This window comes from Homo sapiens, chromosome 5 (assembly GCF_000001405.40).
Source record: "Homo sapiens chromosome 5, GRCh38.p14 Primary Assembly".
NCBI classification, from domain to species: domain Eukaryota; kingdom Metazoa; phylum Chordata; class Mammalia; order Primates; family Hominidae; genus Homo; species Homo sapiens.
In genome coordinates, this window is record NC_000005.10 from 24181023 (window position 1) to 24196701 (window position 15679).

The window sequence follows — 15679 nt, forward strand, 5'->3', positions numbered from 1 at the left end:
TTTCAAGGTTTCAAATATTTTAGTCTATAAAGGCATTAGAGTAGTGTATAAGTCGCTCCTCTCTGGTCATATATACAAAGGTCTGCTACAGAAATTAGTTTGGTGTTTTTGTTTTTAATAGACTATTTACTTGATCATCATTTTACTTAAATCTGAGCAGTAAATTAGAAGCAAATATACTTGCTACTGCTGTACCATTAATGCCTATTTTTAAACATTTTTTTCTTTCTTCTCATTTTCCCATGTTTTCCCTTAATTGTTTTACAAATATTACTATTAGTCTAATGCCTCATTCCACATCTCATTCTATAGCAACTGCTGCATGTTCTTTGCCTTCATAAAAACAATTTTTATGTAAAATTATAAATGAGCTATTGGTCTATCTTTGAGGTTTTCTCCCGCCTTTAGAACACATTTTTTAGACTGTAAATTGATTGCAATCACCAAGTTTGAAAATAGGTGTTTCTTAAAGTAGACATTTCTGATATTTAATTTTACACAGGAGGTGACTTCCAAACAGAACTGTGTTGTTTATATGTATTTCATCTGATTTAGAAATGCAGCAACTTTTCCTCTAAAAAAAAAAGAAAAGAAAAAAAAGACCCTAGATGAACAACAACAATAACAAAAATAGGACAACAGGCAACTTCATTTTGAAGGAAAAATAATACATTCACTGATGCATCAGTGATTTTTTTTTTTTTTTTTTTTGAGGCAGTGGGCTCTGAGAACTTGCCAGAACAGGTTTCTGTAAGAATTTTACTTTTACAGAATGGAGTACATACTTAAAATCTACAGACCCAGCAACATTAGCTAACTGCAGAAGTCTCTTTGCTTCCCAGTCCCGGCTCTGAGCATACTGAAGCCTCAAGAGCTGTAGAGTGATTTCTCGCTTTCCCCGTTGCATAGTAAATACCAATTTATTTTTTTAATTGGTCCAGTACTCTTGGAAGTTATGCTCTTTTCATCCATATTGTCCATATTTGACTTTGTTTGTATTATAGTCATAATAGTTATATTAAATCCCTTTTACTTTAACCCTAAGATTTGGACATTTGTCAGCGTTCTTCTACACACTCTTTTGATTACTGTCCACATCTTGCATTTTAGATGTAGCCTGAATTTTATTTCATTTTGTATAAAATAACCATTGAGAATGTCAATGATGTCAATGTCACACAAAGAGGGTTAACTGTATCAGCATTGGAGGAGCTAAACTTTTCAGTCCAATCAGTTAATAAACTATGTTTGTACTGGGTTTACAAGGTTGATGTAAACATTCCACAAGGGGAAAAAACAGAATAATAAAAGTATAAAATAATTATTTGTAGAAATCTAGAGAAATATACTTCATTATAAAAAATGAAGTGAAGAATTTCCTGGGGAACTTTATTTTAGCAGAATTGGCCCCATTCAACATAGAAAACTTAAAGCAATTTTAATAGAAACATTTAAAAAAGTTATCAATCAATTATCCCCTCCAAGAGGATCTATATAATCCTTGAATATAGAAAAATGTTTTCTAACTATATATCAAAATCTGGAGGCATTAGAAATAAATACTTATAAATTAGACAATAAGAAAGTTGTAAATAAAAAAAATAAGCAAACAAAGCTATATAATAAACTGGGGAGAAAATATTTGTGACATGTTTCACATATACATGAATAGCACATGCTATTCTTTAAAGTCTCTTGAAATTTTGAGGAAAAGATAGAAAAAATAAGTATAAAAGACAAGAATTGCGAATTCACCCCCAATAAAGTAGTTAGGTGTGTGTGTGTACATATATGTGTGTGTGAGTGTGTGTGTGTGTGCAGACATGTTCAAAAAGTTAATCATTGGCACAACATGGATGAAACTCAAAAACATTATACCAAAGTGAAAGAAGTCAGGTAGAAAAGACCACATATTTTGTTATTTTGTTTCTATCAAGCGTCCTAAAAAGACAAGTCTGTAGAGACAGAATGTAGTCATCTGCAGTTGTGAGTGGAAATGAGATCATGTGTCAATATGCATTAGGAATCTTATCAGAGTGATATAATTATGCTAAAACTATGGTTTCCCAGGTTGGTAAGTTTACTAAAAATCACTGAACTGTCACGTTAAATGAGTGATTTTATGATATGTAAATTATACCTCAATAAAGTTGTTTTTAGAGAAGTAACTCACATGTCTGACCTCCAATTTTCACAGAGTTGAGCTTAAAACAAAACAAAAAGGCAGCCTTCAAACATCATTTAGAGCAAGTAAAGAGGATCTAGAACTTTCTAGGTTGACAAATACAAATTGTGCTTATTCTCTCAGCCCTGCCTCTCACACCAATAAAGGATTTTCAATGTAAGAAAACAACTGATGGAAAATATCACATCTAAGGTATGTCCATGGGCCCTTTAGTTAAGAATTCTGAATACCCAGTGGAGTCTCTCAGTTGTACCAAAAGGGCTGCGGGACTCTTTGTAGTGTGATTTTCTAGCAGCCTGCCATGACCCGAAAGGCAGAGATGAAATCTATGGAAAGAAATATCTCAAACACAATGATGCATGTGAGTTTTGCCAACAGGCATGGAATAAATTCATGAGAATACCTACAAAGTTTTTGAGTCTGCTTGTACTGATTAAAGTGGTGCTAACTTGAACTAAAAGGGCTTGAGATACTTTACAAGTTAAAAATCATACTTGCTTCTTCTCCCATATTTCTACTGTTAAGAGATAGGCTGAAAGTTTGCTTAAAGGATACATTTCCTAACATAATTTTCACAACTGGTTAAGAAGGGTGATGGAAAAAATAACTATGACTGTCCTATAGAACATAGCCATGGCTCATTACATACAATCAAGTGGGGAAGCAAGCCCAGGTTACAGAGCAAAGGCCTAACCACAGTACACATCTTACCACTGGTGCAAAAGACCTGGCAAAAATTGCCTGGTGAGATTGAAAAGTTTCTATGAGACAATACTGCCATGTACCTCCCATTCTTCTGTGTTTCAAGCAGGAGTGTTTATTGCCATTGTTTGCCAATGTTTGTTGATTGTTGAGGCTGATACATTGTCCTTTTAGTTCACAGATTCCCCAAATCAAGAGAACTTACTTATGAAATAGATATAGATGACACATTCCTGGACTATTTCCTTGCAGTGATGAGAATATTTGGGGTTTCTGGAATAAGGATAAGACTATTTTGCAATGTGACGGAGATATGAATAATTGCAGCTAAAGTCTGACTATGTTATACAAAAGTCATCAATTTTCACCCCTCCCCACAATCATATTTGCCGTGTAACATTGCAGTGCCCATTCACTCTGACTTTGTCCTGGTTTCATGACCTGCTTTGGCAGACAGATTATTGACCAGTTATGAGGCAAGCAGAAGCTATAAAAAGGGGCTTATGCATTCCTGCTTGTGCTCTTACTTTCTGCCAGTGCTATGAGATGAGCATTTTCAAGATAGCCTACTGGTTTCAGGAAGGCAGAAGAGAGACACATGGAACAGAATTGAGTTACCTCAGTTATTCACCAACCTAGATCATTTGTCAGCCAGCCAATTCCTAGATTTAAGTAAATCCATCTAAAATTAGCAGGAGCACACAGCTCACCTCCATAGATGTGTTTTCAGTATATGCTTATTTTCTTAAGCACCTCAGATGTTAACACTATTTTTAAATGAATCATCACCATATATTTATGAACAGGGCCATTCTGTTCTTATGTCAAACCATACAATGCTATTTGCAAAGTTACTAAGTGCTAATGTCATTATTTCACATCTGAGCATACATAAACAGTTCAATTCTGAACTACTTTATGTGTTTTATTTCATTTTAATTCCATCATGTCATATATTGACTATTGGGAAGAACCAGCATTTTAAATGACTGCTAGATTTTGTTTATTTTTATTTATTTTTATTTTATTATTATTATACTTTAAGTTTTAGGGTACATGTGCACAATGTGCAAGTTTGTTACATATGTATACATGTGCCATGTTGGTGTGGTGCACCCATTAACTCGTCATTTAGCATTAGGTATATCTCCTAACGCTATCCCTCCTCGCTCCCCCCACCCCACAACAGTCCCCAGTGTGTGATGTTCCCCTTCCTGTGTCCATGTGTTCTCATTGTTCAATTCCCACCTATGAGTGAGAATATGTGGTGTTTGGTTTTTTGTTCTTGGGATAGTTTGCTGAGAATGATGGTTTCCAGCTTCATCCATGTCCCTACAAAGGACATGAACTCATCCTTTTTTATGGCTGCATAGTATTCCGTGGTGTATATGTGCCACATTTTCTTAATCCAGTCTATCATTGTTGGACATTTGGGTTGGTTCCAAGTCTTTGCTATCATGAATAGTGCCGCAATAAACATACATGTGCATGTGTCTTTATCGCAGCATGATTTATAATCCTTTGGGTATATACACAGTAATGGGATGTCTGGGTCAAATGGTATTTCTAGTTCTAGATCCCTGAGGAATCGCCACACTGACTTCCACAATGGTTGAACTAGTTTACAGTCCCACCAACAGTGTAAAAGTGTTCCTATTTCTCCACATCCTCTCCAGCACCTGTTGTTTCCTGACTTTTTAATGATTGCCATTCTAACCGGTGTGAGATGGTATCTCATTGTGGTTTTGATTTGCATTTCTCCAAAGGCCAGTGATGATGAGCATTTTTTCATGTGTTTTTTGGCTGCATAAATGTCTTCGTTTGAGAAGTGTCTGTTCATATCCTTCACCCACTTTTTGATGGGGTTGTTTGTTTTTTTCTTGTAAATTTGTTTGAGTTCATTGTAGATTCTGGATATTAGCCCTTTGTCAGATGAGTAGGTTGCAAAAATTTTCTCCCATTCTGTAGGTTGCCTGTTCACTCTGATGATAGTTCCTTTTGCCATGCAGAAGCTCTTTAGTTTAATTAGATCCCATTTGTCAATTTTGTCTTTTGTTGCCATTGCTTTTGGTGTTTTAGACATGAAGTCCTTGCCCATGCCTATGTCCTGAATGGTAATGCCTAGGTTTTCTTCTAGGGTTTTTATGGTTTTAGGTCTAACATTTAAGTCTTTAATCCATCTTGAATTAATTTTTGTATAAGGTGTAAGGAAGGGATCCAGTTTCAGCTTTCTATATATGGCTAGCCAGTTTTCCCAGCACCATTTATTAAATAGGGAATCCTTTCCCCATTTCTTGTTTTTGTCAGGTTTGTCAAAGATCAGATAGTTGTAGATATGCAGCATTATTTCTGAGGTCTCTGTTCTGTTCCATTGGTCAATATTTCTGTTTTGGTACCAGTATCATGCTGTTTTGGTTACTGTAGCCTTCTAGTATGGTTTGAAGTTAGGTAGCATGATGCCTCCAGCTTTGTTATTTTGGCTTAGAATTTTAGACCAATATGCTTGATGAAAATTGATGCAAAAATCCTCAATAAAATACTGGCAAACCAAATCCAGCAGCACATCAAAAAGCTTATCCACCATGATCAAGTGGGCTTCATCCCTGGGATACAAGGCTGGTTCAACATACGAAAATCAATAAACGTAATCCAGCATACAAACAGAACCAAAGGCAAAAACCACATAATTATCTCAATAGATGCAGAAAAGGCCTCTGACAAAATTCAACAACCTTCATGCTAAAAGCTCTCAATAAATTAGGTATTGATGGGACGTATCTCAAAATAATAAGAGCTATCTATGACAAACCCACAGCCAATATCATACTGAATGGACAAAAACTGGAAGCATTCCCTTTGAAAACTGATGCAAGACAGGGATGCCCTCTCTCACCACTCCTATTCAACATAGTGTTGGAAGTTCTGGCCAGGGCAATCAGGCAGGAGAAGGAAATAAAGGGCATTCAATTAGGAAAAGAGGAAGTTAAATTGTCCCTGTTTGCAGATGACATGATTGTATATCTAGAAAACCCCATCGTCTCAGCCCAAAATCTCCTTAAGCTGATAAGCAACTTCAGCAAAGTCTCAGGATACAAAATCAATGTGCAAAAATCACAAGCATTCTTATACACCAATAACAGACAAACAGAGAACCAAATCATGAGTGAACTACTATTCACAATTGCTTCAAAGAGAATAAAATACCTAGGAATCCAACTTACAAGGGATGTGAAGGACCTCTTCAAGGAGAACTACAAACCACTGCTCAATGAAATAAAAGAGGATACAAACAAATGGAAGAACATTCCATGCTCATGGGTAGGAAGAATCAATATCGTGAAAATGGCCATACTGCCCAAGGTAATTTATAGATTCAATGCCATCCCCATCAAGCTACCAATGACTTTCTTCACAGAATTGGAAAAAACTACTTTAAAGTTCATATGGAACCAAAAAAGAGCCCGCATTGCCAAGTCAATCCTAAGCCAAAAGAACAAATGACTGCTATATTTTAGATAGTTTATATCTTGCCATTTAAGTGTACAAAGTAATGAATTTTAAATAGAAAAAAAGCTACCCAAGCATGAAACTATTTAGCAATATGTTTACATAACTATGGATATTTTGTTTCTTAGGAAAGGTCATTTGAAGATAAATATCATATTTTAAAAAGTGTGGCTATGTTGAAACAAAATCAATTTTTAGTGATTTATCATATAGTAATAAAAGTCCATGTTTATACCCATTATTATCATTATCGATTAATTTAGTTATGTCTGTGTAATTCTTATTTTTAACTATGACTGTCTTTTCAGGCAATTAACATTTTCCTGCATACTCATGTATGAGCTATGAAACATTTTTTTTAATTTTATATTAAAACATGCATTACTTTAGTGACAATTTGGTGTGCTGTAATTAGGGTATAAAACCAAATGTCCAGCAATGATAGACTGGATTAAGAAAATGTGGCACGTATACACCATGGAATACTATGCAGCCATAAAAAATGATGAGTTCATGTCCTTTTTAGGGACATGGATGAAGCTGGAAACCATCATTCTCAGCAAACTATCGCAAAGACAAAAAACCAAACACCGCATGTTCTCACTCATAGGTGGGAATTGAACAATGAGAACACATGGACACAGGAAGGGGAACATCACACACTGGGGCCTGTTGTGGGGTCAGGGGAGAGGGGAGGGATACCGTTAGGAGATATACCTAATGTTAAATGACGAGTTAATGGGTGCAGCACACCAACATGGCACATGTATACATATGTAACTAACCTGAACGTTGTGCACATGTACCCTAAAACTTAAAGTATAATAAAAAAAATTAAATTAAAAAACATATTTTCTATGTTTGCACTTGATTAATGAACGTTGTTGTGCGTTTTTATTCCGCCTTTCGCATTACAGAGCAAAGATTCATACCATATTCATCACATACTTCCTGTAAACCAAGCCCATGCTAAAAATAGGCACAATGGAGAATATCTTTTCTGTCATCATACGCTTACAATTTCTGCCTTCACCACAAAGTTCATTCTTAATGTTCCATGAGAAGTTCTAAGTTTCCTTTCTTTCTGTTCCCATTTCTACCATAGTACACTGATGCAGGCCACATCAACAATTCTGCTTTCAGGAATATCAAACTGAGAAGAAGACATCAGCTTCTATGTTCACAAAAGCTCTCACGCTGAAAGAGGCCCATGTCAAATTCTCTGAAGAACTTCCTCTCTAAATAAGGTCCCACAGCTGGAATCATTTATTTAGGTGACTATATATCAAGCATCAGAGAAGGAGCATTAGCATCCCCTCTTTAGACATGAAAAAACTTTGCTGGTGGTTTTCTTGAGCAGCTCCTACGTGCTGCAAACAACATTCCACAAAAAAGCAACTCTGAGTCCAATGATTTTTTTCTGTCTCATCCTCCTCCTAAGCTCTTTGCTTACATGGACAGAAAGGGAAAATAGGTTGAAAGTTGTAAGTCACAGCATAAGTTAAGTTGGTAAATAAGCCCTGGAGAAAATGTCTCATATCATTGTCTTACTTTAGGATAGGAGGTATGTCTTCTGCCCTCAGCTTTGTATCCCAATTGCCATCTTGGAGGCAATAAAAAAATTCACTCACCATCCACAGTTATGTAAAAACCTAAAATTCCATGCAATATTTATTTAAAAATAAGATGGGTGCTGATATTAGGGTATTATTTTCCTTTTCTAAATACAAATGTTATATCCATCTAAAAAGAAATAGAATAAAATCAGGTATTAAGGTGAAGTAATATGCAAAATGACAGAGTATTAGTTATCTATTGATACTACAACAAATTACCACAAATTTAATTGCTTAAAACAAGTCAAATTTATTACCTTACAGGTGTGTACATTAGAAGTCTTAACACAGATCTCACTGGGCTAAAATCAACAAATAGGTAGAGCTGCATCCCTTTCTGGAGGGAGACTGTAAGAGATAATCTATTTACTTTCTTTTTTTCAGTTTCCTGAGGCCACCCATATTCCTTTTGGCTCCATGTTCCCTTCCATCATCCTCAAAACCAGTGATTAATAATTAATACATCTTGGGCCAGGTGTGATGGCTCACACCTATAATCCTAGCACTTTGGGAGGATAAGGAGGGCAGATTCCTTAAGACCAGCCTGGACAACACGGAGGAACCCAGGCTCTACAAAAAATACAAAAATAAGCCAGGCGTGGTGGGGTGTGACTGTAGTGACAGCTACTCAGGAGGCTGAGGCAGGAGGATCACTTAAGCCCTGGAGGTCGAGGCTGCAGTGAGCCATAATCATGCCACTTGCCCTCCACCTTGGGGGACAGAGTCTCAAAGAATGATTTAATACTATTTTGAGATGATGTCTCAAAAAATAATTTAATAATAATAATAATAATAAATCTCACTGATTTCCTTTCATAGTGACACTTCCCTCTGACCACTGCAGGAAATTGCTCTCTGGTCTTAAGGATTCATGTGATTAGATTGTACCCCCCTGGGTAATCCCAGGTAATCTCCCCTTCTCGAAGACCTTAACTTTAATTACATTTACTAAGTCTCTTTTGACATGAAAGATAATATATTCACAGGTTCCAGAAATTAGGGCATTGACATTTGAGGTGGAAGGGATATTCTGCCTACTAGACAGTTAAAGGAAGCACTGGTTTTCGACTGGAAATATCAAAATATACTACAAAGCTTTTTAAAAAAAATATGGTATATCAAGGGGCAGACTCTCTTCCAGACTTACTGACTTAGGATCTTTAGTGTTGAGGCCTCACATGCTCATTTTAAATATTTCTGAGAATCTGCTAATTCCCAAGTATGGACACAGAAAATATTACAATGTTTAAATGAAGATAATGATTTTAAGAGAAAATATATAATACATATATCACATTATTTTACTCAAAATATTTTTCTACTCTAAATTGCTACAGAAATATCATATGATGTGGCCACACACATGCGTGCATGCGCACACACATATATATTTCCCTAGACTTAACATATGTGGATAGATTTTAAAATATAAATGCAAAAATACAAATTTATCACATGTTTAAAGATCTGCACATATAGCAAAAGCTGTTCCGGCTATCTAAGAGAAATTTGGACTTAAAGGTTACCAGATACAAAAATACAGTTAAACATGAGGAATCAGTTCCAGTGGTTTTTTTTTTTCTGAGTAGTTTCTATTTATTTATTTATTCATTTATTATATTTTAAGTTCTAGGGTACATGTGCACAACATGCAGGTTTGTTACATATGTATACATGTGCCATGTTGGTGTGCTGCACCCATTAACTCGTCATTTATGTTAGGTATATCTCCTAATGCTATCCCTCCCCCGTCCCCCCTCCCCCCACCCTACAACAGGCCCCGGTGTATGATGTTCCCCACCCTGTGTCCAAGTGTTCTCATTGTTCAATTATAGCACTAAAGGGTGACTATAATTAACATCAATTTAATGTATATTTTCAAAGAGCTAGAAAAGCAGATTTTAAATGTTTCCAGCACAAAGAAATGTTAGATAGTAGAGGTGATGGATATGCTAAGTACCCTCATTACACATAGCGTACATGTATGGAAATAACAGACTGTACCCCATAAATATTTAAAATTATTATGTCAATTGAAAATAATAACAAAAGCAAAAATGTGGGCACTGAAAAGAAATGAACTATTATTACATATTAAAGAAAAGGAAGAAAAGAGAAAAAGAGGAAATTTGGACTTGCCAGTGAGTATAGATGAAATGTTAACGTCATACACTTCCAGAAGGCCTTTCAGCAAAATTACGTGCAAAAGGACTTCTATTTTTTCATTGAGATATAAAGGAAGAATTGGATCTGATGACACCCATAGTAAGAACTGATGAAGAATATGTGCGTGGGAGGGGGCAGGTATGATAAAGTCTGTTTCACTTCTGTGTTATGGAGATGGACATTTGAGCTCATTTGAGCCCCGATAGAGAGAGATGTTATGGGCAAAAGATAAAAAATTTGAGGGACAGTGGAGCAGGGATATTGTTGTCTGCTGCGTCTGATATTGTTTGGATGTTTGTCCCTTCCAAATCTTATATTCAAATGTGATTTCCAGTGTTGGAGATGGGTCCTGGTGGGAAGGGATTGGATCATCGCCGTGGATCTCTCGTGAATGATTTTAAACTATCCACTTGGCAATCTCCCTCAGTTAGTTCATGTGAGATCTGGTTGTTTAAAAGAGTCTGGAACGTCTTCCTCTCTCTTGCTCCTGCTCTCGTCATGTGACATGCCTGCTACCTTTCTCCTTCCACCATGACTGTAAGCTTCCTGAGGCCTCACCAGAAGCAGATGCTGATGCCATGCTTCCTGTACAGACAGTAGAACTGTGAGCCAATTAAATCTATTTTCTTTATAAATTACCTAGCCTCGGGTATTTCTTTATAGCAGTGCAAGAATGCCCTAACACTCTATCTTTAGGAAAAAATGGCCATGTTTAAATATTACCTTCAGTACTAATAGCTGTGGAACACTAAGTACCTTACATAACTTTAGTCGGTATCTTTTTTTTTTGCATCTGGAAATCGAATAATAACACATATTGTAATAGAAGTTGCTAACTAATGTGCGGCCTCATCAGTTAGAAAGACTGACTCTTGGCTGGGTGCAGTGGCTCATGCCTGTAATCCCAGAACTTTTGGGGCCAACGTGGGCAGATCACCTGAGGTCAGGAGTTTGAGACCAGCCTGGCCAACATGGTGAAACCCCGTCTCTACTAAAAGTACAAAAATTAGCTGGGTGTGGTGGCAGGCTATTGTAATCCCAGCTACTTGGTAGGCTGAGGCAAGAGAATCACTGGAACCTGGGAGACAGAGGTTGCAGTGAGCTGAGATTGCACCATTGCACTCCAGCCTGGGGGACAAGAGCAACACTCTGTCTTAAAAAAAAAAAAAAAAAAAAAAGAAAGAGTGACTCTTTTTTCACCTTGAAGAACAGAAATAAATTGGAAGAAAAAACTTGGTGTTCAAACAGCCAATTAAAGCTCATCTTGGAGACACAAATGTGTTTAAGGGTGTTTCTTTCCACACAAGTCTGATTGCCTCAAGATAGCTGTCATTTCTTTATGAAGGCACAGAAAAGAATTCAAAAGCAAATCAATGAATATACTTTAAATGTTTTTCTACTATAGAATTCTAGTATGCTTACTTGCAAAAAATCAAGAATTGAAGAATGGTGTAGGGTAATGACTAGAAGGAAATAAATCAGAAGGATGCCATTATTTTGAAGAAATTATAATGGCAAAGAAAGTACCGACTCTAACTAAAAAATATTTTGACTATACAGTTCTTAAAGAATCCCTCGAGTTTTCAAATGGGCATGCACAAGAAGAAATAAGAGAGATGAAAATCCCACAAAAAGTAGACTTGTGCTTCAATATTCACTTTAAATGTGGCCACAGAGGAATGGACAAAGAATATTCCAGAAAGCTGAGCAATGGGCCACAAAAAAATAAATGAATGAGAGAATTCTTTCCAAACAGCAGAATTAGGTTGTAATCATGTCTTTCCCTACTCTTAGGAAAACAAGACTTCTCATACAAGAGTTCTCATTAGCAGGATTTCATCATTGTTCTTGTGTGTCTCCGTATTTTATTTTCATAATGGGGAAGTTAATTGCAATCATCTTGCTTGTACTCTACCATTGTATACTGCATATACTGAGAACAAATCCCTAGTCTTCCGGCTTCATATATTTAGAGCCACACCTCCATTTAATAGAAAAGACTCAGATAACTGGAGCTTTTAAATTGGATGCAGAAACTTGTTGGAAACACCTTGGATCTTCATCAGGGAAGGAATGAGCATGTTCTACATGTGGAAACAAGTGATAATAAAATTGATACTTGGTGAACAGAAGAGCAAAATGGTAGTGGCTGAGAGCACAAATGAAAGATGCATCTCCCTATACTACAGTAATAATGTTCTCTGTTTCTGAGGCTTTATCTTGTGACAGAGTCAAAATAAGCAAAATGTGAACAGACCTTGGCTCATGGCTCGTTGTAACTCGATTTGTGTGAGTCTCTTGCTCTTCCCCATTTGCCCATTTGCTTATTGAATATTGAAGCTCACAGCAATATTGTGTTGAAGTGTGAAGGACTCCTCCTGGGTCCCTGAATGACTAAGTGGAAATGAGTCCTAATTTGAAATCCCTCACTTACACTTCAAATGAATAAAAAAAAAAAATCTATTTTGTTTAATAAGCCACTGTTATTTGAGGCCTTATCTGTTACAGAACCTCATATTATATTTAACTAATCACTGTACCTTATGGGTTTGTCGAGGTAAATTAATCACATATGTCAATTCATGTAAATTAATTCGTGAATGTTAGCTCTTGTACTATAATGTCTGTAACATTTTAGATCACAAAGCACATGAGTGTGGCTTTGGTTTATCAATAAAATATAAATATTTCATTAAGGATCATATGTAATTTACAACTAATAAAGAAAAGATAACATTTCTATATAGTGCAAAATATGAATGCATGAAAATGGCAAGAATTCATTAGACATTAAATTGTGATAATGGCTCATGTTTAAACAGTTTTGGAATTAGCCCACTGTGTGATGTCTGGTTTCTTTGCTTGTTTACACTACAAGAATGAATAGAGTTGAAACTATCAATTCACAATTTTTAAAGCCTTTCAATTTTTAGTATAAAATTTGTTTTCTCCTACATGTGTAATAGTTATCTATCTGCAGTAATCCACTGGAACAGAAATGTCCAATGTTTCAAAAGTATGAAAATATGATTGTATTTTGCTGGGGAAATTTTATATTCTATACTAAAATGAGCATGTAAATAAAAGTATATGTTCACAAATTTTCATACGGATAGGGAAACAAAATTGTAGAAAAATTAATTTTCTCAAATATTAAGCAATCCTTCTACATGTGATACTTGATGATCCTTTAAAACACCTCAGGGATATTCTTTTGGTAATATGCTAACATATTTAATCAAAAATCAGTGTAGCTTAGGTATATTAATATTATGCTCCAACAAAACACCCTGGAGTGAGCTTTATTGCTTAAACTGTGGAAAGGTCAGACATTTACAGCATATTATCCTGTTTCAAAAATAATTACATTTTCATTGTCAGTTGGGGAAATAGAAAGATAAGATCTATAATACTACATGCAATTAAATTTAACCTTCTTAATGGAATATTAGTGATCTGGGATTTACTTTTGAAATTTACTGAGGAGGTACTCCTTCTATATGTATTCGTATAAACTAGTCAATGTAGAAAAAAGACCATGACTCATTTGGATAAAGTAGTCAATGACCCATTCCATGAGCTCTAAACATCAGTTATCACATGCTTTTCAGATAGACCCATTTGATTTTCCAAATGTCAAATCACATGACAATAAACATGAAAATTCTTTTTTCTTCAGTTTCTTTTTATATTATTAATTTATTTTATGTTTCCTTCTATTCAAAAACTATAAAATATCCTTTTCCTGTAAAATGTCTTTTCTCTGGATGATATATGTGGAGTGCAGAAAAAGGCACGGTGTGAACAAACAGTACACAACTGCTGCCGTGGGGCACTTGCATTTTATTGCTGTATTTATCAAATAAAATACTAAAACCCTAAATGCTTAGATATCCATAGCTCCAACTACATTTTCAGAAAATATGCGTCTATCAGAAATGATCCTTAGGAAAGGTACAGTGAAGATAATTAATTTGCAGAAATAGAAGCCCTCTTAAACCTGTTAAAGATTCACTGAGCCATGTGACATGTTTTCAGTTTCGTCATGACCATTAATTCCAATATTGTTTCATTTAATAGCAACATACAAGAAAAAGGTGATTAAAGATTAATTTTATCCTTTACTTCTAATTCCACACTGCCTTGAAATAGACATTCCAGTAACACAAACTGTCCTAGAAACTACAGCGAAAGTTATTAACGAAAAAAATAATGGCATGGCCACATGGACTTTGAATGACATCAATACAGTTTTGGTATTGATATTTTTATCCTAGGAAGCCCAAGTGTTATATACAATGAATTGAGAATGATGATACATATTTTAAGCTTCTGGATTTACATTACAACATTTTAATTTAGATATAAAAATAATTTTCTTAAAAAGATATAAGTGCAACCAAAAGAAATAAGGAATTTGAATAATGTGCTATCAATAAAATTGAAACCATAAATTTCATATCTTCTCACAAAGAAAACCCCAGTCGCACATGTGCTTCCCTTGTGGATTCCTTCCAACATTTAAGGAAAAAACACCTGTTTTACACAAATTCATCTAGCTAATTAGAAAGAATGTACTCTTCCTACCGTATTTTGTAGGAACACAAATTCAGAACTAAGAATGAATAATAGATTTGAAATGTGAATGATGACATGCATGCAAAAAATCCCACTAATATTCAAGAACATCTATTCTGTGCTTGATTTTGTCGCCTCTTCCACTGTCCCAACCAAAAGTTACGGTTATTAATTTTTGTCAGAACTTTTTGAGCAAATCTAACTGCTTAATATTGAGTTTCACTATGACTGGACTTCTTTTTTATTTTAAAATTTTTACTTTACTATTTCATTCGGTTTTTATTTTGGAATCAAAGTGTGGATGTGCAGGTTTGTTGCAAGGGTATATTCCATGATGCTGAGGTTTGGGGTACCACTGAAGCCATCACATAGGCAGTGAGTATAGTACCCAATAGATACCCAAAGGCTTTTCAACCCTTGCCCCCTATGGTTTTTCCTCCCTCTTGTGGTCCATCTGTATGTCCATGTGCATCCAATGTTTAGCTCCCATTTATAAGGGAGAACATGTGGTATTAGGTTTTCTGTAATGGCCTTCAGCTGAATCCATGTTGCTGCATTGGACACGATTTCATTCTTTTTTCCAGCTGCATATTATTCCATGGTGCTTGTATAACACATTTTCTTCATCCAATCCCTAAATGATGGGCACCTAGGTTCATTCCAGGTCTTTGCTATTGTGAATAGTATCACAATTAACATACGAGTGCAGGTGTCTTTTCTTTTTCACAGAATAATTTATTTTCTTTGGAGTACATTCCCATTAAAAGGATTGTTAGGTTGAATGATACATTCTTTTTTAGTTCTTCAAGAAATCTTCAAATTGCTTTTCCCAGTAATTAGCCCTAATTACTCCACCTTCCTTACTCTAGCATAGTATAATTCAAAATAGAATATCAAAAGTGATATAATTATGTCCTACTTAAAA